This window comes from Homo sapiens, chromosome 16, assembly GCF_000001405.40.
Source record: "Homo sapiens chromosome 16, GRCh38.p14 Primary Assembly".
Classification (NCBI taxonomy): domain Eukaryota; kingdom Metazoa; phylum Chordata; class Mammalia; order Primates; family Hominidae; genus Homo; species Homo sapiens.
The window spans coordinates 15,106,432-15,133,159 of NC_000016.10; the positions used below are offsets into that span (position 1 = coordinate 15,106,432).

Genomic DNA, 26,728 nt, shown 5'->3' on the forward strand with positions numbered 1-26,728 from the left:
ACCTAGAAAACGTATTTCAGATGGCTGTAAGAGTACAGTCTGAGCCGGTCACGGTGGCTGATGCCTGTAATCCCAGCACTCTGGGAGGGCGAGGTGGATGGATCACGAGGTCAGGAGATTGAGACCATCCTGGCTAATACAGTGAAACCCTGTCTCTACTAAAAATACAAAAAATTAGGCGGGCGTGGTGGCAGGCACCTGTAAGCCCAGCTACTCGGGAGGCTGAGGCAGGGGAATCACTTGAACCTGGGAGGCGGAGGTTGCAGTGAGCCAAGATCACGTCATTGCACTCCAGCCTGGGTGACACAGCAAGACTCCATCTCAGAAAAACAAAAACAAAAACAAAAAAACTGTACAGTCTGATCCAAACTGTTGCTATATTGATTCCTCCTCTTGCTTACTGCCTGCTGACTTCTGAGATGATAGTTTCCTTCCCCATTCTCAGTATATCCCTAATTCATCCTTCATTGAGCATCTTTTATCATAAAGCTGTATTCTCTTTGTATTAATATCTTTACTGTGTTTCACAGGGCAGAAACAGCTGGGCTTATAAACAGGAATAGTCCTTTTGAAGGATGTGGTTGATCCTACAACAACACACTTTCCTAAGGATGACAACAACTCACCCCACCCCTAGAATGGCTGGTATGAACCGAGTTTCCACACAGTCTAGCTGGCAATGGGGTCAGGAGCCGTTTTGCTACTTCACATCTTTTGGTCACTGGTAAATATTAAGGTGCTTTGTTTTCTGTTTTGTGAACTCTCTCTCTCTCACGATATGTCTTCTGACCATTTGTTTCTATTTCTGCATTTACTGGGTCTAAACATTGTACAAAGGTTAAAAACAACACTCCAATGGGCGTTTCCCAAGAGGGTGGGGTTCAGTTTCTGAACTCACATGTAGGTGTGTATTTCTTTCATATCCAATTTCCCATTTTCCTCTGCCTCTGACACCTGCCTCTCCTTTTCTCCGTGCTCACGTTCTTTCATGCTTAGTTTCCTCAGACTAGAAGGGAGAGAAATGCACACACATGATCCACCAGCCCGTGTGGGATTCCCTCTGCCCTTCTGGCATCTGAAGGCTGATTCAAAGATCCCCCCTGCAACCTTCCCACAAATGAACCAACTGATTCTCACAAGCAAAGGGAGAATGGACACCTCCCATTGAGGGACAAAAAAAAAATCACACTCTGGCCTGCTGGCAAGTCACCTGTCATTTCCAGCTCATCTTCATAGTTCCATAGTTAGTCCTATTCTTTAGTAAATATAAAGACTATTAAAAGCTTCTATGAGGTGCACTATGTGTGTCTCTGGGGTCAGTCTTGTGCTTGACACAGCGAAAGCTCATTTTAGTTCAGTGTGAAAAACCAGACCTCACCAATTCATCACAACTAACTCCATCGGAAGCAGAGGATTGCTCCTCATCTGACTCCTCCTGTGTGAGACCTGATTCTCAGTCAGAGGCTGATGCTGGAACTGAGACCATCAGCCATAGAGAGATCCTTCCAGAATATGGTGTCATTAACCCCGCAGTTCACTACTGCACTTTGCCATGATTCAGGACTGGAACTCTTGTCATCGACTTTAAAGATCCTGAAAAGGCAATCTGAATGCTGGGCGCATCTATTGAATTAGAAATGATCGGAATGGCTCCTAAGTCAGGGTGTCATGTCCTGAAAATAGGTGACAACTGCAAACCATCCACCCTGGTGTTGACTGACTTTAACAAGGTTCAGTTCACAGAGATTGAGGGCAGAAAAAGGAAATGGCCTCAAAAGGGTAAGTTTGCTGTGTTGCCCTCACACCACTTGATTCATGGTCCTGATCCTAAGGATCTCACCTGATACTTGGTTTTATAGGAAGGATGTATAAAATTCCCAGAACGCTAGGAAACAGGGACGAAAACACTTCAAAGAGAAAGTTAATGAACTTGTTTCTGACCACAGGGCATCCTTCAGCACATGCTGTCTGGAGTGGCCTCAAACAAGGAGTGTGTGGTGAGGTGCTGACAATGCAATGGGAGCAGGGTCCTGTCCCCACGCTAAAGAAGCTCACAGTTTAATGCAAATGAGAAGCCAGTGAGGACATCACTACTCCTGCTGTGCACTTGGGAACTAGAAACACAAAACCTGACTCTGGAGGGAAGCTAAGGAAGCATTCTACTCTTGAGTTGACATAAGTGCATCTGAAGCTTCTGATCTCCGATGAGAACAATGGGGGACACCAAACAGAATATAAAACCCATGATTGAATACATCAAATTGCTAACATGGCAGTAAACAGACATGAGGTGAAGATGGAGAAGAAGGAAACCCAGGACGAAAGTCAGCCTCGCATTTGGAACCCATTTCCCTGAGTTTCATTGCTGAATTCCAGAAGGAACTACTGAGATGCAAAGAAGCACAGCAGCTTTTGCACACATGCGTGGGGTTAGATGGAAAACAAGTGGATTGAGGGTCTGCCAATGAAAGCGACCCATACTGAAGTCCACTGGCTCTGGTTGAGACCCAGAAGAGTCATGCATCAGAATAGAGGTGGACAGGAAATACCGTGGCCTTTGTAGGGACTGAGCCTGCACCGACGACCTCAATTGCAGCCTGTATGGAGGACCCCTGACCATCCCCCAGAAGTAGACTCCCATCTCTTCTGCAGCAAGATAACATGCTACTAGGCCTCAATTCATTGCTAAATATTTTTTAACAAGTATCTCACATTTAACAAAAAAAGATCAGTCATATGGGCAGCAAAATACAATGTAATATGACCAAAACATGAAAGACTGTGAAAATGAATCTGGAGGTGACCCAAGCATTGAATTCAACAATCCAGGCTGGGTGCGGTGGCTCACACCGGGAGGCTGAGGTAGGCAGATCACCTGAGGTCAGGAGTTCAAGACTAGCCTGGCCAACATGGTGAACCCGTCTCTACTAAAAATACAAAAATTGGGCTGGGCACGGTGGCTCACGCCTGTAATCCCAGCACATTGGGAGGCCGAGGTGTGCGGATCATGATGTCAGGAGTTCTAGACCAGCTTGGCCAATATGGTGAAACCCCGCCTCTACTAAAAATACAAAAATTATCTGGGCATGGTGGCATATGCCTGTAGTCCCAGCTACTCAAGAGGCTGAGGGATAAGAATCGTTTGAACCTGGGAGGCGGAGGTTGCAGTGAGCCAAGATCATGCCACTGCACTCTAGCCTGGGTGACAGAGTGAGACTCTGTCTCAAAAAAAAAAAAAAAAAAAAAAAAAAAAAAAAAAAAAAAAAAAAAATTGGCCGAATGTGGCGGCACACACCTGTAATCCAAGCTACTCGGGAAGCTGAGGCAGAATTGCTTCAAACTGGGAGGCAGAGGTTGCAGTGAGCCAAGATTGCACCACAGCACTCCAGCCTGGGCGACAGAGCGAGACTCTATCTCAAAATTTAAAAAAAAAAAAAAAAGGCTGGGTGTGGTGGCTCACGCCTCTAATCCCAGCACTTTGGGAGGCTGAGGCGGGTGGATTACCTGAGGTCAGAAGTTCGAGACCAGCCTGGACAACATGGTGAAACCCCATCTCTAGTAAAAATACAAAAATTAGCTGGGCGTGGTGGTGGGCACCTGTAATCCCAGCTACTTGGGAGGCTGAGGCAGGAGAATTGCTTGAACCCAAAAGACAGTGAGCTGAGATTGTGCCATTGCACTACAGCCTGGGCAACACGAGCAAAGCCCCATCTCAGGAAAAAAAAAAAAAGAGAGAGAGAGACAAAGGAAAACCAATGCCAGTACTAGCAACTCCTCTTCCCCTGAAAAAATGACAAACAAGAATGTAGGAAGGGAAAGGAATTATACAGCTTAAACTAATGAAGCAGAAAGGACAAACTCAATTTTGAACCCACTGAATTTGCCACAAATATTGTAGAAAATATTCTCAAGGACTTTACAGTTGTCTACTTTGATTGGCACATGGTTCATACAACAGTATTTGTGTCAAGGCACATCTTACTGTTCTTTGGCGGTCTTCCTCTTTCCATTGATTTTGTCATGACGGTTGACTTTTGTTGTCACCTTCATCTTACGGATTTTAGCTCGAACCTTGGTTTCCACCTGTCTCCATAAAGTAAAGATGTCTTCCAGGACAATTTTAATTCCTGGAAAGGAAGAAACTCTTTTCTTTGTGTGCATACAAATGGACTTCAGCCCTTGGTGAGAGTGAGGAGAGGAGAAGGTGAGAAACCTGAGGGCAAGAAGCTGTTCTTTCCCTTTCCAGGGCAAACTCATTTCCACACTATGGGGACTCCAACAGAACCATACCTTCCTGTCTACGGCGGTTGGACCTCCTGGCTCTCTGCTGTACATCCGTGGATCCATCATGTCCATTTTGAGACGGGAAGATAGTCTTCAGGAAAGACACCTAGGAAATAATAATATAAGAATGACGGCTGGGCACGGTGGCTCATGCGTATAATCCCAGTACTTTGGGAGGCCGAGGCAGGGTGGATCACGGGGTCAGGAGTTCAAGACCAGCCTGGCCAAGATGGTGAAACCCCATCTCTACTAAAAATACAAAAATTAGCCGGGCATGGCAGTGGGCGCCTGTAATCCGAGCTACTCGGGAGGCTGAGGCAGAGAACCGTTTGAAGCTGGGAGGCGGAGGTTGCAGTGAGCGGAGATCACACCACTGCACTCCAGCCTGAGCGACAGAATGAGACTCTGTCACACACACACACACACACACACACACACACAAAACACACAAGAATGACGAGGCTGGCATGTTGGCTCACTCCCGTAATCCCAGCACTTTGGGAGGCCGAGGCAGGCGGATCACCTGAGGTCGGGAGTTTGAGACCAGCCTCACCAACATGGAGAAACGCTGTCTCTGCTAAAAATACAAAATTAGCCAGGCATGGTGGTGCATGCCTGTAATCCCAGCTAGTCGGGAGGCTGAGGCAGGAGAATCACTTGAACCCAGCAGGAAAAAGTTGTGTTGAGCTGAGATTGTGCCATTGCACTCCAACCTGGGCAACAAAATTCAAACTCTGTCTCAAAAAAAAAAAAAAAAAAATAGGCCAGGTGTGGTAGCTCACGCCTGTAATCCTAGCACTTTGGGAGGCCGAGGCGGGTGAATCACAAGGTCAAGAGATGGAGACCATCCTGGGCAACATGGTGAAACCCCGTCTCTACTAAAAATACAAAAATTAGCTGAGCATGGTGGCGCACGCCTGTAGTCCCAGCTACTCCGGAGGCTGAGGCAGGAGAACTGCTTGAACCCAAGAGGCAGAGGTTGCAGTGAGCCAAGATCCCACCACTGCACTCCAGCCTGGTGACAGAGTGAGACTCCGTCTCAAAAAAAAAAAAAAAAAAAAAAATGACATGAATATACTTCACACAACTGAACTGTACACTTCAACACGGTTAGATGGTAATTATCATCTTGTAAGTATTTTACCACAGGTTAACATGTTTCACAACTTGAAAAGGAAGGAATTAATTACCTTCAGCTCTCTGAGTTCTAGAATTTGTAACATTTCACCCCCTGCTCCTTCCTGATCTGCACTGGAGCATCTTTCTTCTGTCCCTGCTCTACTCAGAGTTCACTTTCCCTTCCCTCACATCAGCTTCGTTGAGGCTGGTTTGAACTTTACGCAAAACATTCTCACTAATGACTGAATTCCCACCAAATTTCCATATTATCACAGTATGCTTTTAATCTTCTCAGATATTAAGTATTTGTTCTCATCATAGCTAAAATGCAAAGCAAATCCCATCTCAGATGTGGGTCAGATACCTATGAATCTCCTGAGGTAGTCATTGAAATGACTTTTTTCTTGAGACGGAGTGTCAGTCAACCATGCTGAAGTGCAGTGGCGCTACCTTGGCTCACGGCAACCTCCACCTCCCAGATTCAAGCGATTCTTGTGCCTCGGCCTCCCAAGTAGCTGGGATTACAGGTGCCTGCTACCATGCCTGGCTAATTTTTGTCTTTTTAGTAGAGATGGGATTTCACTATGTTGGCCCATCTGGTCTTGAACTCCTGACCTCAAGTGATCCACCTGCCTCAGCCTCCCAAAGTGCTGGGATTACAGGCATGAGCCACCACACCTGGCCTGAAATAATATCTTTCAAATTCTTTGTAGAATTTGTTTTTTCCTGATTTCTGCACATAGGATAAAAAAAAAATCATGTACTAGGATTTCGAGAGAAGCAATGGGTAATCTAAAAAGATGAAAAGAGCAACCACGTCTATCCCACAGCTACTGCTAGATTTCATAGGAAAGGTAGCTGGCCCAGTTTGGAGCTAGGAGAAATGTCAAACACATGAAGAAATGAGAAGCAAAGAAATGCCATCACACATGAATGCTTCATGGCACCCATGATGTCCCTGCTTAGGAGGTAATGGTATAGATGACTAGATGACAAGGACAAAGATGAGAGGTACAAAGTTGTCCAAGTCCAACAGCTCAACTGAACTTTCCTAAATGGAATTGTTAAAAAGTGGTAAATTTAAAAACTTCCCCTGGCTCACGTGGTGGCTCACGCTTGTAATCCCAGCACTTTGGGAGGCTGAGGCGGGTGGATCATTTGAGGTCGGGTTTTGAGACTAGCCTGGCCAACATGGTAAAACCCCGACTCTACTAAAAATACACAAATTAGCTGGGCATGGTGGTGGGCACCTGTAATCCCAGCTACTTGAGAGGCTGAGGCAGGGGAATCACTTGAAGCCAGGAGGTGGAGGTTGCAGTGAGCCGAGATCACACCATTATACTCCAGCCTGGGCAACAGAGGGAGACTCGTCTTGGGGGTGAGAAAAGAAAAAAAAAAAAAAAAGCTTCCTCCAATTTATACCAAAAATTCTCTGTTCAGGACTAAGTGGCATAGAGAATGTTAAATGTGCCTAGATATCTTCATAACTCATATATTTTCTGTTTTCCACATATCTTGAAAGGCAGTGCCAAATGACGTGTAATTATCTAGGTGGTAAAACTGAAACATACTTCCTCTTCCCTTGAATATCAAAAAGCATTGTGGTATTAGTACTTTTATCTTGGATCATTGTTCAGAAGGAGGTTCAGCCCCCACACAACCACATTTTTACTGTCATGAGTGGCAAGACAAAATGTAGAGCTCAACTTACCCAAAGGAAAAAAGGCTCAAAAGACAAATTATGCCACAACTTAGCAGCCAAATTCTTACCAAGTACAGACTTTTGACATACTGATCTCTCTCCAGTTGCAAGTGGGAACATGCACTTTGAATGATGTCATTCAAAATTACCCTGCCCAGACACACTTTTCATTGATTCTCTTGGAGGGCAGTTCTAAGAGATTCTCTGGGGCTTTCTCTGCATCATGAGACGCAGTGCAGTTCTGCCCTTCACCTTCCGGCAGTTTGTCACCTCGTCCCTATGACCTCAGAGGAACTTTGTCTCAGGCCAACTGTTTGTTCCTTGGGCTCTTTCATTTCCCCTAAAAATCATTTGCTGCCCCTCTAAATGGCCTACATCTCCATCTATCTCCCTCTCCCCTCAGAAGAGGGTGCTCTTTAAGCATCAACCATCCAGCCCTTCTAGCAGTCTCATTTTTCAGCTGGTTCCCATGTTTATGCCTGTTCTATGTTTTTCTTTTCCTGTTAAGCTGTCTGTTGTCAGCTCATTTCTGCAGTGAATCTTCAGAGAGGAGATTGGAAGCTTTCCTTCCACCCATACGATAGAACTATAAAGCAGAATAGTTTAGAAAGACTTTCCCATTTAAGTGACGAAACCTCATACTCCATTTGTGACAAATAGCACAAAGGTTAAAAAAACTTATTTTTGACCAAAAGCTCTGTTGACATTCTATTAAACACCGACCTATTTAATTTTCATAATGTAAATGGCAGATATTTTCATAATTCTTATGCTAATAAATCATTTCCCTGATTTTTTGGGTAAAACCACATATTCATAATGAAGTCCAGAAACGTGAAGTGTTTCATATAATTTATTCTTATTTGTGATTACAAGTATACCTCTACAGAAAGTTAGTATACTCACACAAAGGTAAGTTGTGCAGAGGGAGATGGCAAATTTATAACTTCTCAGAAACACAGTAATGATAAGTAACCAAGGACTTCCACCAAAGTCAGTCCCACGATGACGATGGTCAGCCAGAGTATTGATAACCTGGAATAATAATAGTTGAAATAATGAAAAGGTCAATGACACTGACAATATTTCACTCAGAAAGAATCATCCTTAGAAACCGTCAACCTCCTCCAAAAGGTAACCACATCCCTCAGATATCACCGTGGGATTCCACTGCTACAAAAAAGAACAGAAGTTAGAGAAGTCTCATGTTTTTCAGATGGCTGGTAGTGTTTTTAGGCATTGCAAATGTGGGGTGTTGTCTTTCTTGGTATAAAGCAGGGATATCCAATCTTTTGACTTCCCTGCCTATATTAAAAGAAGCAAAGTTGTCTTGAGCCACACATAACATACACTAACACTAACAATAGCTGATGATCTAAAAAAAAAAAAAATTTTTTTTTTTTTTTTTTTTTGAGACAGAGTTCTGCTCCACTCAGTCGCCCAGGCTGGAGTGCAGTGGTGCAATCTCGGCTCGCTACAACCTCCAGCTCCTGGGCTCAAGCCATTCTCCTGCCTCAGCCTCCCGAGCAGCTGAGATTACAGGTCTCTGCCACCATGCCCGACTAATTTTTGTATTTTTAGTAGAGATGAGGTTTCACCATGTTGCCCAGTCTGGCCTTGAACTCCTGACAGGCGATCTGCCTGCCTCAGCCTCCCAAAGTGCTGGGATTACAGGTGTGAGCCACCGTGCCCAGCCATTTTTTTTCTTTTTGTTTGTTGTTTGTTTTTGAGATGGGGTCTCACTCTGTCACCCAGGCTAGAGTGCAGTGGTGTGCTCTTGGCTCACTGCAACCTCTGCCTCTCAGGTTCAAGTGATTCTCCTGCCTCAGCCTCCTGAGTAGCTGGGAGTACAGGTGCCTGACAGTGCACTCAGCAAATTTTTGTATTTTTTGTGGAGATGGGGTTTTGCCATGTTAGCCAGGGTGGTCTCGAACTCCTGACCTCAGGTAATCTGCCCGCCTCAGCCTCCCAAAGTGCTGGGATTACAGGCATGAGCCACTGTACCTGGCCAAAATCTCCTAATGTTTTAAGAAAGTTTACAAATTTGTGTTGAACTGCATTCAAAACTGTCCTGGGCCACATGCAGCCCGTCACTCATGGGTAAGACAAGCTAAGTATAAAGTAATTATCTTATCTTTTCTTTTTGTTTTGAGACAAAGTCTTGCTCTGTCACCCAGGCTAGATTGCAGTGGCATGATCTCAGCTCACTGCAACCTCCACCTCCCGGGTTCAAGCGATTCTCCTGCCTCAGCTACTGAGTAACTGGGATTACAGGCGCCTGCCACCACGCTCGGCTAATTTTTGTCTTTTTAGTAGAAACGGTTTCACCATCTTGGCCAGGCTGGTCTCCAACTCCTGACCTCATGATCCACCTGCCTCGGCCTCCCAAAGTCCTGGGAATACACGTGTGAGCCACTGCACCTGGCCAGTAGTTATCTTTTCTTTAGTTATTTACTTGTTTTTTAAATTGATGTATAACATTGGATGCATTTATTATATATCACATGGTAAAAGAATCCCTCTAAATAATACTTCTCTCTTGGATTATATGAATCTTTGTCATTTAAAGCTCAGCATAAGTAAAAAAAAAAAAAAATACAATGAAGAGATTACTTCATTCACAAATAAGTATCGAATTTTAGTGCTTAAAAATTAACAAGGTGGGCCGGGCGTGGTGGCTCACGCCTGCAATCCCAGCACTTTGGGAAGCCAAGGTGGGTGGACCATGAGATCAGGAGATTGAGACCATCCTAGCTAACACGGTGAAACCCATCTCTACTAAAAATACAAAAAATTAGCAGGGCATGGTGGCACGCGCCTATAGTTCCAGCTACTTGGGAGGCTGAGGCAGAAGAATCACTTGAACCTGGGAGGTAGAGGTTGCAGTGAGCCGAGATCGCACCACTGCACTTCAGCCTGGGTGACAGAGCGAGACTCTGTCTCAAAAAAAAAAAAAAAAAAAAAAATTACCAAGGTGGAGATCATGAAAATGGCATGAATAGTGTGGGATTTCTCTAAGATTGTTGATATTAATTCCATTAGACTCTTATGTGAGTGAAGACGAAGACTTCCCCTGAGTAAGTTCAGACAGCTTCTGATAACATTTCTACATCGATTCCTCAGGATTTAACTATATATTCTTGAAAACATCTCAATTTTAAATGTTTCTTTCAAGATGGTGAATTAAACAGAGATAGCCCTTCAACAGGTTGAACTCAGCATATGCTGAGTCTGAAATGGAAATGATGGAGTTAGAGAACCATACAACAATGGTAATGATTTCAGAAATATGGTGTTGAGCAGAACAAAGCAGACACAAAAGAGTACCTATGGCATGGCATGCATCTGTATACGTGAAATTCCAGAATAAGCAAGCTAACCTATGATAAGAAAGAGACTGGCTGGGAAGAGTGAGAGTTCACTTTCTGGGGTGACATAATAGTGTAGATCTTGGCTGGGCACGGTGGTTCACGCCTGTAATCCCAACACTTTGGGAGGCCGAGGCGGGCGGATCACCTGAGGTCGGGAGTTCAAAACCAGCCTGACCAACATGGAGAAACCCTATCTCTACTAAAAATACAAAATTAGCTGGGAGTGGTGGCACATGTCTGTAATCCCAGCCACTCGGGAGGCTGAGGCAGGAGAATCGCTCGAACCTGGGAAGCAGAGGTTGCGGTGAGCTGATATTGGCCCATTGCACTCCAGCCTCAGCAACAAGGGAGAAACTGTCTCAAATAAATAAATAAATAAATAAAATAATGTAGATCTTGAAAGGGGGTTGGTTTATGCTGGTGTATGTACTTTCCAAAGTTAGTAAACTTACACTTAAGGTTATATATTTTGGCCAGGCGCGGTGGCTCACGCCTGTAATCCCAGCACTGGGAGGCCGAGGCAGGCGGATCACGAGGTCAAGAGATGGAGACTATCCTGGCGAACATGGTGAAACCCAGTCTCTACTAAAAATACAAAAATTAGCCAGGCGTGGTGGTCTACTAAAAATACACAAATTAGCTGGGCATGGTGGTGGGCACCTGTAATCCCAGCTACTTGAGAGGCTGAGGCAGGGGAATCACTTGAAGCCAGGAGGTGGAGGTTGCAGTGAGCCGAGATCACACCATTATACTCCAGCCTGGGCAACAGAGGGAGACTCGTCTTGGGGGTGAGAAAAGAAAAAAAAAAAAAAAAGCTTCCTCCAATTTATACCAAAAATTCTCTGTTCAGGACTAAGTGGCATAGAGAATGTTAAATGTGCCTAGATATCTTCATAACTCATATATTTTCTGTTTTCCACATATCTTGAAAGGCAGTGCCAAATGACGTGTAATTATCTAGGTGGTAAAACTGAAACATACTTCCTCTTCCCTTGAATATCAAAAAGCATTGTGGTATTAGTACTTTTATCTTGGATCATTGTTCAGAAGGAGGTTCAGCCCCCACACAACCACATTTTTACTGTCATGAGTGGCAAGACAAAATGTAGAGCTCAACTTACCCAAAGGAAAAAAGGCTCAAAAGACAAATTATGCCACAACTTAGCAGCCAAATTCTTACCAAGTACAGACTTTTGACATACTGATCTCTCTCCAGTTGCAAGTGGGAACATGCACTTTGAATGATGTCATTCAAAATTACCCTGCCCAGACACACTTTTCATTGATTCTCTTGGAGGGCAGTTCTAAGAGATTCTCTGGGGCTTTCTCTGCATCATGAGACGCAGTGCAGTTCTGCCCTTCACCTTCCGGCAGTTTGTCACCTCGTCCCTATGACCTCAGAGGAACTTTGTCTCAGGCCAACTGTTTGTTCCTTGGGCTCTTTCATTTCCCCTAAAAATCATTTGCTGCCCCTCTAAATGGCCTACATCTCCATCTATCTCCCTCTCCCCTCAGAAGAGGGTGCTCTTTAAGCATCAACCATCCAGCCCTTCTAGCAGTCTCATTTTTCAGCTGGTTCCCATGTTTATGCCTGTTCTATGTTTTTCTTTTCCTGTTAAGCTGTCTGTTGTCAGCTCATTTCTGCAGTGAATCTTCAGAGAGGAGATTGGAAGCTTTCCTTCCACCCATACGATAGAACTATAAAGCAGAATAGTTTAGAAAGACTTTCTCATTTAAGTGACGAAACCTCATACTCCATTTGTGACAAATAGCACAAAGGTTAAAAAAACTTATTTTTGACCAAAAGCTCTGTTGACATTCTATTAAACACCGACCTATTTAATTTTCATAATGTAAATGGCAGATATTTTCATAATTCTTATGCTAATAAATCATTTCCCTGATTTTTTGGGTAAAACCACATATTCATAATGAAGTCCAGAAACGTGAAGTGTTTCATATAATTTATTCTTATTTGTGATTACAAGTATACCTCTACAGAAAGTTAGTATACTCACCCAAAGGTAAGTTGTGCAGAGGGAGATGGCAAATTTATAACTTCTCAGAAACACAGTAATGATAAGTAACCAAGGACTTCCACCAAAGTCAGTCCCACGATGACGATGGTCAGCCAGAGTATTGATAACCTGGAATAATAATAGTTGAAATAATGAAAAGGTCAATGACACTGACAATATTTCACTCAGAAAGAATCATCCTTAGAAACCGTCAACCTCCTCCAAAAGGTAACCACATCCCTCAGATATCACCGTGGGATTCCACTGCTACAAAAAAGAACAGAAGTTAGAGAAGTCTCATGTTTTTCAGATGGCTGGTAGTGTTTTTAGGCATTGCAAATGTGGGGTGTTGTCTTTCTTGGTATAAAGCAGGGATATCCAATCTTTTGACTTCCCTGCCTATATTAAAAGAAGCAAAGTTGTCTTGAGCCACACATAACATACACTAACACTAACAATAGCTGATGATCTAAAAAAAAAAAATTTTTTTTGTTTTTTTTTTTTTTGAGACAGAGTTCTGCTCCACTCAGTCGCCCAGGCTGGAGTGCAGTGGTGCAATCTCGGCTCGCTGCAACCTCCAGCTCCTGGGCTCAAGCCATTCTCCTGCCTCAGCCTCCCGAGCAGCTGAGATTACAGGTCTCTGCCACCATGCCCGACTAATTTTTGTATTTTTAGTAGAGATGAGGTTTCACCATGTTGCCCAGTCTGGCCTTGAACTCCTGACAGGCGATCTGCCTGCCTCAGCCTCCCAAAGTGCTGGGATTACAGGTGTGAGCCACCGTGCCCAGCCATTTTTTTTCTTTTTGTTTGTTGTTTGTTTTTGAGATGGGGTCTCACTCTGTCACCCAGGCTAGAGTGCAGTGGTGTGCTCTTGGCTCACTGCAACCTCTGCCTCTCAGGTTCAAGTGATTCTCCTGCCTCAGCCTCCTGAGTAGCTGGGAGTATAGGTGCCTGACAGTGCACTCAGCAAATTTTTGTATTTTTTGTGGAGATGGGGTTTTGCCATGTTAGCCAGGGTGGTCTCGAACTCCTGACCTCAGGTAATCTGCCCGCCTCAGCCTCCCAAAGTGCTGGGATTACAGGCATGAGCCACTGTACCTGGCCAAAATCTCCTAATGTTTTAAGAAAGTTTACAAATTTGTGTTGAACTGCATTCAAAACTGTCCTGGGCCACATGCAGCCCGTCACTCATGGGTAAGACAAGCTAAGTATAAAGTAATTATCTTATCTTTTCTTTTTGTTTTGAGACAAAGTCTTGCTCTGTCACCCAGGCTAGATTGCAGTGGCATGATCTCAGCTCACTGCAACCTCCACCTCCCGGGTTCAAGCGATTCTCCTGCCTCAGCTACTGAGTAACTGGGATTACAGGCGCCTGCCACCACGCTCGGCTAATTTTTGTCTTTTTAGTAGAAACGGTTTCACCATCTTGGCCAGGCTGGTCTCCAACTCCTGACCTCATGATCCACCTGCCTCGGCCTCCCAAAGTCCTGGGAATACACGTGTGAGCCACTGCACCTGGCCAGTAGTTATCTTTTCTTTAGTTATTTACTTGTTTTTTAAATTGATGTATAACATTGGATGCATTTATTATATATCACATGGTAAAAGAATCCCTCTAAATAATACTTCTCTCTTGGATTATATGAATCTTTGTCATTTAAAGCTCAGCATAAGTAAAAAAAAAAAAAAATACAATGAAGAGATTACTTCATTCACAAATAAGTATCGAATTTTAGTGCTTAAAAATTAACAAGGTGGGCCGGGCGTGGTGGCTCACGCCTGCAATCCCAGCACTTTGGGAAGCCAAGGTGGGTGGACCATGAGATCAGGAGATTGAGACCATCCTAGCTAACACGGTGAAACCCATCTCTACTAAAAATACAAAAAATTAGCAGGGCATGGTGGCACGCGCCTATAGTTCCAGCTACTTGGGAGGCTGAGGCAGAAGAATCACTTGAACCTGGGAGGTAGAGGTTGCAGTGAGCCGAGATCGCACCACTGCACTTCAGCCTGGGTGACAGAGCGAGACTCTGTCTCAAAAAAAAGAAAAAAAAAAAAAAATTACCGAGGTGGAGATCATGAAAATGGCATGAATAGTGTGGGATTTCTCTAAGATTGTTGATATTAATTCCATTAGACTCTTATGTGAGTGAAGACGAAGACTTCCCCTGAGTAAGTTCAGACAGCTTCTGATAACATTTCTACATCGATTCCTCAGGATTTAACTATATATTCTTGAAAACATCTCAATTTTAAATGTTTCTTTCAAGATGGTGAATTAAACAGAGATAGCCCTTCAACAGGTTGAACTCAGCATATGCTGAGTCTGAAATGGAAATGATGGAGTTAGAGAACCATACAACAATGGTAATGATTTCAGAAATATGGTGTTGAGCAGAACAAAGCAGACACAAAAGAGTACCTATGGCATGGCATGCATCTGTATACGTGAAATTCCAGAATAAGCAAGCTAACCTATGATAAGAAAGAGACTGGCTGGGAAGAGTGAGAGTTCACTTTCTGGGGTGACATAATAGTGTAGATCTTGGCTGGGCACGGTGGTTCACGCCTGTAATCCCAACACTTTGGGAGGCCGAGGCGGGCGGATCACCTGAGGTCGGGAGTTCAAAACCAGCCTGACCAACATGGAGAAACCCTATCTCTACTAAAAATACAAAATTAGCTGGGAGTGGTGGCACATGTCTGTAATCCCAGCCACTCGGGAGGCTGAGGCAGGAGAATCGCTCGAACCTGGGAAGCAGAGGTTGCGGTGAGCTGATATTGGCCCATTGCACTCCAGCCTCAGCAACAAGGGAGAAACTGTCTCAAATAAATAAATAAATAAATAAAATAATGTAGATCTTGAAAGGGGGTTGGTTTATGCTGGTGTATGTACTTTCCAAAGTTAGTAAACTTACACTTAAGGTTATATATTTTGGCCAGGCGCGGTGGCTCACGCCTGTAATCCCAGCACTGGGAGGCCGAGGCAGGCGGATCACGAGGTCAAGAGATGGAGACTATCCTGGCGAACATGGTGAAACCCAGTCTCTACTAAAAATACAAAAATTAGCCAGGCGTGGTGGTCTACTAAAAATACAAAAATTAGCCAGGCGTTGTAATCTGAGCTACTCAGGAGGCTGAGGCAGGACAATTGCTTGAACCCCGGAAGCGGAGGTTGCAGTGAGCCGAGATCTTGCCACTGCACTCCAGCCTGGGCGACAGAGTGAGACTCTGTCTAAAAAACAAACAAACAAACAAAAAAGTCATCAAACCAGATGACACAAATCAAATGACATTTCACTTTGTTTTGGTCCGTTTTGTTTGTTAGAGACAAGAGTGCAGCGGGGCCATCTCGGCTCACTGCAACGTCCAGCTCCTGGGCCCAAGCGATCCTCCCACCTCAGCCTCTCCAGTAACTGGGATAACAGGTACGCACCACCAGGCCCGACTAATCTTTTTTGGAATTTTTTGTAGAGATGGGGTTTCGCTATGATGCCCTGGCTAGTCTTCAACTCCTGGACTCAAGTGATCTGCCCACCTCGGCCCCCTAAAGTGCTGGGATTACAGGCCTGAGCTGTGTAATTTCATGCCGCGTGACACAGCCCAGTAAAAAGGAAGAAACCCCGCGGGTCCAGCGTCTACTCACACAGGTGGACTGATGGCTGATAAATCCCAGCAGGAGCCGAAAGAGCAGCCACAGCACCCATCTACTCACACAGGTGGACTGATGGCTGATAAATCCCAGCAGGAGCCAAAAGAGAAGCCAAAAGAGCAGCCACCGCACCCGCATGTCCTGGTCCTTTCAGGGCGCCCGGAGGTGGCCAGGACAGAGGTGGAGGTGGCTTAGGGCAGGGGGGAGGGAAGGGGACGGGGACTGGGCGGGATCTGAGTTGGGGAGGGGGAGGGGAAGGGGAGGGGAAGGGGAGGGGAAGGGGGGAGTAAGGGAAGGGAAAGGAGAAGGGGGCTGTTGGGTACCTGGAGGAGGTGGAGGAGGAGGAGGAGAAGAAGAAAGGGGTCTGGGAAAGGATCCGGTTCAAATTAAGTTCTCAAGCGCTGGTGGAAGGTTTAGCTACAGGTCACGGAGAAGATCAGGGAAGCAACAGGACACGCGGGGCAAGGGAGCGTGAGGCTTAGGAGCAATTAGAGGGAGACAAAGGTTCTGCTTTCCACCAAACCTTCTTCGGTCTGGGCCCTCCCTTAGCAACCCTGGGGCTTTAGACTCTCTCTCCACCAATCCCTGATGACCCCGGTGGTGCCTCACAATGGACATTCCAAGTAGCGCCCGCATCATCCCAATGACCCCTCCCCCATCTCAGTCCCCCACGCTCCTCCCAAGACCAGGTCCTCTCTGGAACCTTCACAAACCTGATTTCTGGTCCACCCCAACCAGCTCCCTGTCCCTGCTTCTGGGCGCTCCTTCCTTCCTGAGCTCCCAGGGTTCCTCAAGGTCACTTTTGGTGACAAAACATAAAAAACAAATGATGGCAGGATGGCAGGAAGAACCTCATACCCAAGCAGAGTGCCAGGTTTTACAGCCTCCGCTCAGCCATTCATATCCTAAGCAACAAAACATCAGCAGGATGCGGAAGGTCCCGATAGTAAACCATCTCCATCACATCCATGTAGCCATCCGTCCATCAACCTGTATCTCAGGAACAAATGTACATACATTCATTTTAAGCATGCATGGTACATTTACAAAAATTAACCTGACTTATTTTGTTCCAGCAAATCTCAATATATTTGAGAGCAATCAAATCACACAGCATGTTTCTGATCATATAACTGTGCTAGAAGTCAATGATTAAAAGCTAATTCAAAATTATTATTTGCTTGGAAATTCAAAGTGCCCTTATAAGACATAAACATAAGAAAGAATCCAAAATGAAACAAGATTGCCTTTCAACTCAATGATGAGATCATAACATGGCAATAAAATGTCTCCCTCTGGCCTGGGAATTCCTCTTTGTGGCACAAGGTTGTGTGATCTCAAATCACCCCTAACCCACCTAGACATTTTAACATCCGAAACCGAGTGATGATGTCCTTATCTATATCATCTTACTGCCCGTGTGTGTGGACTTTAAATTCTGAACCCAAATGAGGGGGAGAAAACCAAGCTGACTTTCATGACTGGCCTCTCAGGGACGTCCAAGGAATCTATGCATTTCAAGAAACAAAGTTCATCAGCTTCTCTCCTAAGGTGTTTGCCCACAATACCCAGAGGGCTTGGCCGCATCATGTGTGATGGGTGGGGAGCTCCAAGCAGGTGGGCAGGACCCAGGGGCCTGGTGACCAGGACAGACCCCCACTGTCCATCACCTTTCCTGGCCCTGTCCTCAGCTAAACTTCCCACAGGCCTTCTGCCCAATCACACAGAGTGTGCCCAAACTCTCTCAGGCCTCTGGCAGCTGAAAACCACTGCTTTAAATCCCTTTACCATTTACTATGACATAAGGTTATTGTAAACAGGAAATATTCTATTGATGCTACAAATAGAAAGCCAATGCCTTTACCATAAATAGAAAAACAACCCTAAGAAACAAGCAAAACAAAAACAAAACAGGGGCTGGGGGTGGTGGCTCACGCCTGTAATCCCAGCACTTTGGGAGGCCGAGGTGGGCGGATCACAAGGTCAGGAGTTCCAGACCAGCCTGGCCAATATGGTGAAACCCTGTGTCTAATAAAATACAAAAATTAGCCGGGTGCGGTGGTGGGCGCCTGTAGTCCCACCTACTTGGGAGGCTGAGGCAGGAGAACAGTTTGAACCCGGGAGGCAGAGTCTGCAGTGAGCCGAGATTGCACCACTGCACTCCAGCCTAGGCGACAGAGCGAGACTCTGTCTCAAAAACAGCAACAACTACAAACAAAAAACAGGGTTAACAAAAGTATGGAATTCAATTCTTTTTATATGCTGCAGCCATGTTCCAGCCCTAGATTTGGCTGGGCATGGTGGCTCACGCCTGTAATCCCAGCACTTTGGGAGGCTGAGGCAGGCGGATCACGAGGTTAGGAGTTCGAGACCAGCCTCACCAACATGCTGAAACCCCGTCTCTACCAAAAATACAAAAATTAGCCAGGCATGGTGGCACACGCCTGTAACCCCAGCTACTCAGGAGGCTGAGGCAGGACAATCCCTTGAACCCGGGAGGCGGAGGTTGCAGTGAGCCGAGATCGTACCATTGCACTCCAGCCTGGGTGACAGAATGGAATGAGACTCTGTCTCAAAAAAAAAAAAAAAAAAAAAAAAAAAAGAAGCCCTAGATTTCGGTTGTGTTGGTTGTAAAAGGAGAGACCCAGTAAGTGGGGGTTGTGCCGCAGATTGCTACCCACAATGGACGGGTCACTGAGCAGGTCCGGCCAACTGGGCGTTCCCTCGCTGGAGGGCCAGCACACCAGACTGCAGGTGGCGCGGGTCAGCAAGGTACCAGGGGATGTGTCACACACACAGCCCACCCCCGTCCAGTCACGCACGGACACCCTGGGCTTCCGAGCAAACCTGCTCCCACGTGGTGTGACCACATGGAGCCACAGACACCCAGCAAGGACACGCAGCCCGCACACCCCCGGTACTCCAGACACAGTGACCTGCACCAGGGCTCGAGGTTTCTCTAGGGGAACCCACCTCTTAGAATCATCCAGAAACAAGTCACTCTTCACCTGTCCAGCAAAGGCCTGCTGAGAGGTGCACAGTGTCTGGAGTCCAAGCTGCGCCAAGGCGGCAGGACCCCCAGCCCAGCCCAGGACCCCCAGTAGAGCCCTCACCTCAGCGTGGAGGCCTGAGAACGTGAGGAAGGAGCTGTCCAGCACGGACGAGTCCAGGCAGCTGTCGATGTCCAGCACCTGCTGCCCGGCAGGTGTGGGGCTCGGGCTCCCAGCCACCTGCAGGACGACAGCAGTGGTCAGCGGGCGGCAGCTCAGACCTGCTCAGGACCTGGATGAGAAGCCACCTCCTCAGCAGACAGGACAGAGCCCGGTGCCATCTGACAGAATGTCCTAGAATGCTGGATATATGGGACATCTGCACCGTCCGTGATGGCAGCCCCTCGCGACGTGTGCCACTGAACACTTGACAGCAGACTGGTGCAGCTAAGGAACAGAGTTTTCAATTTCATTTTTTTTTTTCTTAGATGGAGTCTCGCTCTGTCACCCAGGCTGGAGTGCACTGGCGCAATCTCAGCTCACTGCAACCTCCACCTCCCGCGTTCAGGCGATTGTCCTGGCTCAGCCTCCTGAGTAGCTGGGATTACAGGTGCCTGCCACGATGCCCAGCTGATTTTTTGTATTTTTAGTAGAGACGGGGTTTCACTGTGTTGGCCAGGCTGGTCTTGGAACTCCTGACCTCAAGTGATCTGCCCGCCTCCGCCTCCCAAAGTGCTGGGATTACAGGTGTGAGCCACCACACCCGGCCATCGTTCCATTTTAATTAACTTAAATACGAGCAGCCACATGTGGCCTCTGGTTCCTGCCACGGACTCGGGAGCAACCCCTCCTGGTCGCGGCTTATGCGCCTTCTCTGTGTGCTGCTGGGGTTAGTTTGCATGTAACCTCTTGAGGACCCCACGTGTGCATTCCTAAGGGGTGCGGCCTCCCGTTTCCGTATGAATGGGAAGAGTTCCCACCTGCTGTATTCTTGGAAAGAGTCTGTGAAGGATTGGTGTTAATTCTTCCTTAACTGCTTAGAAAAATTCTATCGTGAAGGCTCTGAGCCTGAGCTTTTCTTTGTGGGATTTTTTTTTTTTTTTTTTGGAGATGGAGTCTTGCTCCGTTGCCCAGGCTGGAGTGCAGTGGCGCAATCTCGGCTCACTGCAAGCTCCGCCTCCTGGGTTCATGCCATTCTCCTGCCTCAGCCTCTCGAGTAGCTGGGACTACAGGCGCCCGCCACCATGCCCAGCTAAGTTTTTGTATTTGTAGTAGAGACGGGGTTTCATTGTGTTGGCCAGGCTGGTCTCGAACTCCTGACCTCAACTGATCTGCCCGCCTCGGCCTCCCAAAGTGTTGGGATTACAGGCGTGAGCCACCGTGCCTGGTCCTTTTTAATGTTTTATATAGATGTGGTCTTGCTATGTTGCCCAGGCTGGTCTCAAACTCCTGGACTCAGATCCGCCCACCTCGGCCTCCTGAAGTGTTGGGATTATAGGCGTGAGCCACCACACCCGGCCCGGCCACTGGGAGGTTTCTAAGGGACTAACTCGGCCTCTTCACTTGCTATAGACGTACTGAGATTTTCTTCTGGAGTGCATTTCGGAAGCGTGCACAGCCGCGTGCTTGCTTCTTCTGAGTTATCTGGCGTGCTGCTGTGCAGTTGTCCGTGGCGTCTGCTTAGCGAAGTGCCCTCGTTCTTTCACGATTCTGGCTTCTGAGTCTTCTCTCTTTCTCCCTGGTCAGTCTAGCTAAGGCTGCTCAAGTGTGTTGACCCTTCCCGAGCAGCCTTTGGTGGACGCCTTTCCCTCTGGCTGCAGCACTGGAAAGTGGCGGCTCTGGGCATGGTGCCGAGGCCCAGGCTCCATTCCCAGTACTCCCCGGTCCCCAGCCCCAGCCCACCTTGCTCCGGGACATCCAGAAGAGAAAGAGGATGGCCAGGTAGACGGGATAGACAACCACGCTGGACACCAGGCCAACAGCGACTGTGTCGACGCTCAGCGGGCTCAGCCTGGACACATGCCCCGTGCTGTGTGGAGGAGAGGAGGCCACACAGGTGAGGCTGAGGGGCAGGAAGGGCTGGGCAGGAAGAGGCTGTCCCGACCCCTACGGCACCCACCTGTAGGCAGAGTCACCAACAGCCCCGTACCACACGGCGTTGGCGCCCAGGAAGAGGCAGATGAGGAGAACGCAGCAGGTGGCCCTCTGGATGCGAGTGAAACAGCTACGAGGCGGCCGGTCCCATATGGAGAGCCAGATGTGCTTGTCAAAGAAGCCGCACTGCAGCTCAGCCACCAGCAGGCGCCGGAAGCGCAACAGGGCTGCGTGACCTAGAAGGCAGGGAGGGCCGCACTGCAGGAGGCCACGGGGCAGGACCACCCTGCCCAACCTCCCACGGAGTGGGAACATGGAACGAGGCCTTACTCGCGGCCAGCACCTCCTTCTCCACCAGGCCCCCGTTGGCCTCCGTCTCCACCGAAAGCCAGTCATTGACCAGGAAGAAGGTGCTGTGTGCCGTCTGCAGGTCCCTGATGATGACGTGCTGCAGGAACCAGGCAGGGCTGAGCCCTGCAGAGGCGCGGGAGGGAGGTCAGGCTCGCAGGGCGCCCCAACGCGGGGGCAGAGGGGCAGAGCTTGGCAGGGTCCGCACAGACCTTTGTCGTGCCACACTCGGATCTTCCACACGCTACCCAGGCTGTGCGGGGTGGCGATCCGGAAGATGTCCAGGCTGTTGCGGTGGAAGGCTCTGTCGCCATCCAGGTGCCGGTGGCCGCTCCGGCTGTCCACCCCATACAGCATGATGCCCACGTGGGCCGTGGTACCTGGAGGGCAAGAGGGAGGGGTGGGAGGCTCGGTCTGCTGCCCAACACGTGTGGCATCCCAGGCAAGTCATCTCAGCTTTGGCCTCCGCGCACTCAAGGAGCCACACAGGCAGTCCCGGCTTTGCACGGCTCTGCCATACACGAGGAGCTGAGGTTACTGCAATTTGTCCAATAAACAGCAGGACCTCAAGGACATGATTAAGTTACATGGAAAGAACTGTAACTTGTGACATGCAAACATGGCTGCACACGCCTCAGTCCACACCACAACCAGTGACCCGCACTGCACACCTGTCCACGCCTCAGTCACGCCACAACCAGTGACCCGCACCACACACCCGTCCCTCAGTTCATGCATAGACTGCAAAGCGTGAAGCTGTGTCACCTCCTCTCCCAGTGACAGACCCAGGTGACAGTATTTTTTTTTTTTTTTTGAGATGGAGTCTTGCTGTGTCACCCAGGCTGGAGTGCAGTGGCGCAATCTCAGCTCACTGCAAGCTCCGCCTCCCGGGTTCACGCCATTCTCCTGCCTCAGTCTCCCGAGGAGCTGGGACTACAGGCGCCTGCCAACACGCCGGCCTAATTTTTTTGTATTTTTTAGTAGAGACAGGGTTTCACCGTTAGCCAGGATGGTCTCGATCTCCTGACCCCGTGATTTGCCTGCCTCGGCCTCCCAAAGTGCTCGGATTACAGGTGTGAGCCACCGCGCCCGGCCGACAGTTTTTAAAAGTAGGTAATCAAAAGAAAGAACTGGGAAATGAAGATAAAAGCAGCACGGAAATAAAAAATGGGAACACGGCCAGGTGTGGTGGCTCACACCTGTCATCCCAGCACTCTGGCAGGCCGAGGCAGGCGGATCACCTGAGGTCAGGAGTTCGCCTGGCTGACACGGTGAAAAATTAACTGGGTGTGGTGGCGTGCACCTGTACTCCCAGCTACTCAGGAGAATCGCTTAAGGGGAATCGCTTAAACCCAGGAGCTGGAAGTTGCTGTGAGCCAAGATCACGCCACTGCACTCCAGCCTGGGCAACAGAGCGAGACTCCGTCTCCAAAAAAAGAAAAACGAAAACAAAAAGGGAATGCCAGAAGGGCAATTCCAATGAAAGGAAAATAGAGGTATTGAAGAAACAGCCACGGGGAGGGTGCTGGCGCCTCCGTCTGAGAGACGAGCTATGCAGTCAGGATCGCGGGTGGATGCACGGTCTCCCACAGTGGTAGCGATGCTCATGTCACTTGTGGGGCCACGCTACTGTGCAGAATGTGGGCTGCCCACCCTGACTGACTGGCACCTACTTCCAGCTAGGAGCTGTCCTAGTCCTCAGGGACAGTGAGTGCTCACGAGGTCATTCCCAGGATGAACACACGAGCCCTTCACACAGCACTGCAAAAACTGCCTTGTTCTGACGTCTGCGATGAGACTCACTCCCAGAGGGTGCAACCAGCACAGCCAGTGAGAGCAGGGGAGGCCCTGCCACCCCGCCGCGCCCCTCACCTGAGCCCCGGCCCCAGCCTGTCTTGACGAGGATCTCGTACTTGAAGCGGCCCCGCTGCCCACAGAAGGGGATGGCGCGGCCCCGGCTGGCATCCAACTGGTCCAGCTTGTGCAGGATGGCGGCCATGACCATGTAGGTCACCAGGCACACAGCACATGTCAGCATGACGATGTAGTTTACATCCGCTGTCGGCTCCTGTGAGGACACAGCCGCCGGGCCCAGGAGGTCACGTGCAAGCTGTGCCTTCTCAGGATAGAGCCGAGCCCACCCAGGCCCTCCTCGACTCTGCAGAGGCTCCCAGGAGCACAGGGTCACTCACAGGAAACACAAAGCGTACATGGCTTGGGGGCACGAAGAGGCTGGCGCCGAAGGCGGTGAGGTGGCGGGTGAGGCAGACGGCCTGGCGGGGCGAGGTCTCCTCCAGGGGCAGCAGCCCCTCTGTCCGCCACACCACGTCCTCCTCGCTGAAGTACTGGCACAGGGACGTGTACAGGCCCACGGACACCTCCAGCGCCGACAGGCGGAAGTGGCTGGAGAGGTTCAGACGGTAACTCCCCACTGGGTCTCTGGTCCTGGGCAGGGAAGGGGCAGTGGACGTGAGCCCAGGCTCCGCCAGGTTGGATATCGGAGTCCCAGAGCCCATACCCGGTCCAGTCCCCTCGCTGCCTGCCGTCCCCACAGGGCCTGTAACCCGGGCAATGCTGACCCATGATGCCCTGCCCTGCCCTGCCAGGCCGGCCCGCAGAGCTCACCCCGGGGAAATGAAGAAGGTGTAGGGCCGGTGGTCGGCACCCTGGAGGGACTCTGGGCGGATCCTCCTGCTAGCCGAGCAGTTGTGCTCATTGGGCCGGGGCTCCGAGTGCAGGTAGACTGCCAGGTAGGGCTCGGGTTCCTCAGACAGGTAGCGGCCTGGGGCAGAACGCGCAGGTCACACGCCTGCTGGGAAGCTCAACCACCCGGGGGACACCCACGATGGCCCTCCTGAGCCCACCCTCTGCCACGGGCCTGAAAGGCCATAGGAGCCTCTGCACCAGAGCTGGCACCTGCTTCTCCGTGGCCCCCAGCTCCTCTCCGGCCAGGCCCCCAGCAGCCCATGAAACAGAAAGCAAATTTCACCAGAGACACCCATGGAAGCCCTACGAGAAACGCCTTCCCCCCAAGAACAAGGCCAGGGGGCCGCGTGTGCCTCACCCGCTGCACGCACCGTCCAGCAGCGTATAGTTGAGCTGCAGATGCAGCACGGCCGCAGGGTTGCTGCTGTCCAGGGTGACCACAGCACCGACGGAGGCCTGGGGCTGGACCACAACGGAGTTGGCAGAGCTGCGGTGGCCCCGGGCAGCCCAGTCCGAGTTGTTGGGCACCTTCACGGTGATGGCGCGCTCTGAGGCCAGCCGCTCGATGGGGATCTGGGCGCCGGCCTGTGTCTGGAACGCCATCGAGGCCACCTTGGTGGAGACGGTGTAGTTGCTGATATAGCCAAAGGGAAAGGGATTGGAGTCCACCAGAAAGATGAGCTGCACCACGTCACTGAGGTTAGCCGGGGCCCTGCTGAAAGCCTAGGGGATGGAGAAGTGGCAGCCAGGCCCTGGGGCGCCGCCATAGCACAGCAGGCTCCGCGGGTCCGAGCGCTTGCCCTGGGCCACGATCTCCTCGCCCGCCAGTGTCAGGGGCTCCTCGTTGAGCACGCGGGAGCGCGTGAGGATGCGCATGAGGGCAGAGGTCAGGTTGTAGGCCTGGGACGCCACCATCCGCGATGGTGACTCGGCTCCCAGCTCTGAGCGCTGTGGTGCCCGCACGTCTGAGCTGGCCAGGTGGATGAGGTCTCCTGCAGACAGACGTGAGGTCAGTGCAGAGACAGGGAGGCAGAGGGAGGGTGGGGGCAGGCAAAAAGGGGGAGCCGGAGGGTGGGGGCTGGGAGAAAGGGGGAACCTGAGGGGGCAGAGAGCGAGGTGCAGGCAGAAGAAAGGGGGAAGCTGGAGAGAGAGTGGTGGAGGGGGGAGGGGGAAGGGGATGGGGATGAGGACGAAGATGAGGGGGATGATGGGGAGAGGGAGGAAAAAGGAAGGAAAAGGGTAGAGAAAAGAGAAAGGGGAGAAGAGGAGGAGCAGGGGGATAAGGGAGGGGAAGGGGGATAAGGGGATAAGGGAGGGGAAGGAGGATAAGGGGGATAAGAAAGATGAGGGGAATGGACAAAAGGACGGGGAGGATCGGGGGGGAAATGGAGAAAAGGGGAGAGAGATGGAGAAAAGGGATGGTAATAGGGAAGGGGGAGGGGGAGGAGAATGGGAATTGGGGGAGGGGGATAAGGATGGGAAGGGGGAGGGGAGGAAGGGGGAGGGGAGGGGCTAGGGGAGGGAGGGGCTGGGGGAGGAGTGGAGGGGCTCAGCGGGAGGAAGTGAGGGGAAGGTCTAGGGGAGGGGAGGAGGAGAAGGGCTAGCGGAGGGGAGGGGAGGGGGCAGGGGCTAGGGGAGGGGGGAGGGGCAAGGGGAGGGAGGGGGAGGGGAGGGGTTAGGGGAGGGAAGGGGCAGGGGAGGGGCTAGGGGAGGGAAGGGGGAGGGGAGGGGAGAGTGGAAGGCACAGAACAGCATCTTCTTAGTCCCTCCCCACATCTGGGCCCCTCTTTACACCCTGGGTCCCCCGAGAGGCACCCTGCGTTCACACAGGACAGCAGAAAGGCTGAGGCTACTGAAGCAGGTCAGAGACCGAGGAACGCCATGGCATGAAGGAGCCCAGGCTGGAGGCTCAGCTCCTCGGCCAAGCTGCCCGTCTGCCCTGGGGGGCTGAACCCAGTACCCTGGCAGGCATGCGGGGCGGGGTGAGCATGTGGGGCCATCCTACCATGCACTGGGCCAGCGCAGCAGCGATCTGCTGGATGTCATCCACAGTGTGGACCCTCAGGGACACCAGAGTCTCCGTGATGTTCTTGCGTATCTGGGCTCGGCGCTGCCGCTCGTGCTTGGGCTCTGCCGCCACGTCCAGGGCCCGCTCGTACTGGGGCAGGCAGGCGGCACAGCAAGCTGTCAGCAGGGCAGGAGACCGGCAGGAGGCCAGCAGATGCCCACGACTCCCGGGGTGCAGTTACGTGCTAGATGCTGTGTGATGTGGGCATTGACCCGCAACACTGAGCTGTTTCTTCATGGGCAAAACAGGGTAAGCACATGGGCCCTCCTGGGCGGGGGCTGCATTGTGGAAAGCAGACGCCGGAGAGGGCCCGGTGGGTGTGGCTGCTGGGAGCGGAACGTCGGGGTGCTGCTTCAGGGTCACTGGGATTTATCTC

The 26,728-nt window shown here is 49.9% G+C and overlaps 1 protein-coding gene, 1 long non-coding RNA gene and 3 pseudogenes across 11 annotated transcripts in view; 2 read left to right on the plus strand and 3 right to left on the minus strand.

Moving 5' to 3' along the window:
- Positions 1-2,766, plus strand: part of LOC100505915 (uncharacterized) — a 14,787-nt gene extending 12,021 nt beyond the window's left edge. Inside the window, exons 3-4 of the long non-coding RNA NR_125434.1 lie at positions 531-736; positions 997-2,766. This is a non-coding gene — a long non-coding RNA (uncharacterized LOC100505915). The remainder of the gene's footprint in view (positions 1-530; positions 737-996) is intronic.
- The window catches only part of NPIPP1 (nuclear pore complex interacting protein pseudogene 1), a 19,183-nt pseudogene extending 2,116 nt beyond the window's left edge, over positions 1-17,067 (minus strand).
- Positions 1-25,170, minus strand: part of PKD1P6-NPIPP1 (PKD1P6-NPIPP1 readthrough) — a 26,879-nt pseudogene extending 1,709 nt beyond the window's left edge. Inside the window, exons 1-14 of the transcript NR_123722.1 lie at positions 24,656-25,170; positions 24,204-24,360; positions 23,771-24,023; positions 23,451-23,646; positions 21,791-21,958; positions 21,561-21,704; positions 21,256-21,466; positions 21,039-21,165; positions 19,260-19,376; positions 12,495-12,623; positions 8,012-8,140; positions 4,291-4,390; positions 3,983-4,127; positions 899-1,006 (exon numbers count right to left, since the gene is read on the minus strand). The product of NR_123722.1 is annotated as a PKD1P6-NPIPP1 readthrough, transcript variant 2 (transcript). The remainder of the gene's footprint in view (positions 1-898; positions 1,007-3,982; positions 4,128-4,290; positions 4,391-8,011; positions 8,141-12,494; positions 12,624-19,259; positions 19,377-21,038; positions 21,166-21,255; positions 21,467-21,560; positions 21,705-21,790; positions 21,959-23,450; positions 23,647-23,770; positions 24,024-24,203; positions 24,361-24,655) is intronic.
- The window catches only part of PDXDC1 (pyridoxal dependent decarboxylase domain containing 1), a 178,484-nt gene that overhangs the window by 131,697 nt on the left and 20,059 nt on the right, over positions 1-26,728 (plus strand). The gene's annotated exons all lie outside the window — the stretch shown is intronic.
- The window catches only part of PKD1P6 (polycystin 1, transient receptor potential channel interacting pseudogene 6), a 29,735-nt pseudogene continuing 21,714 nt past the window's right edge, over positions 18,708-26,728 (minus strand).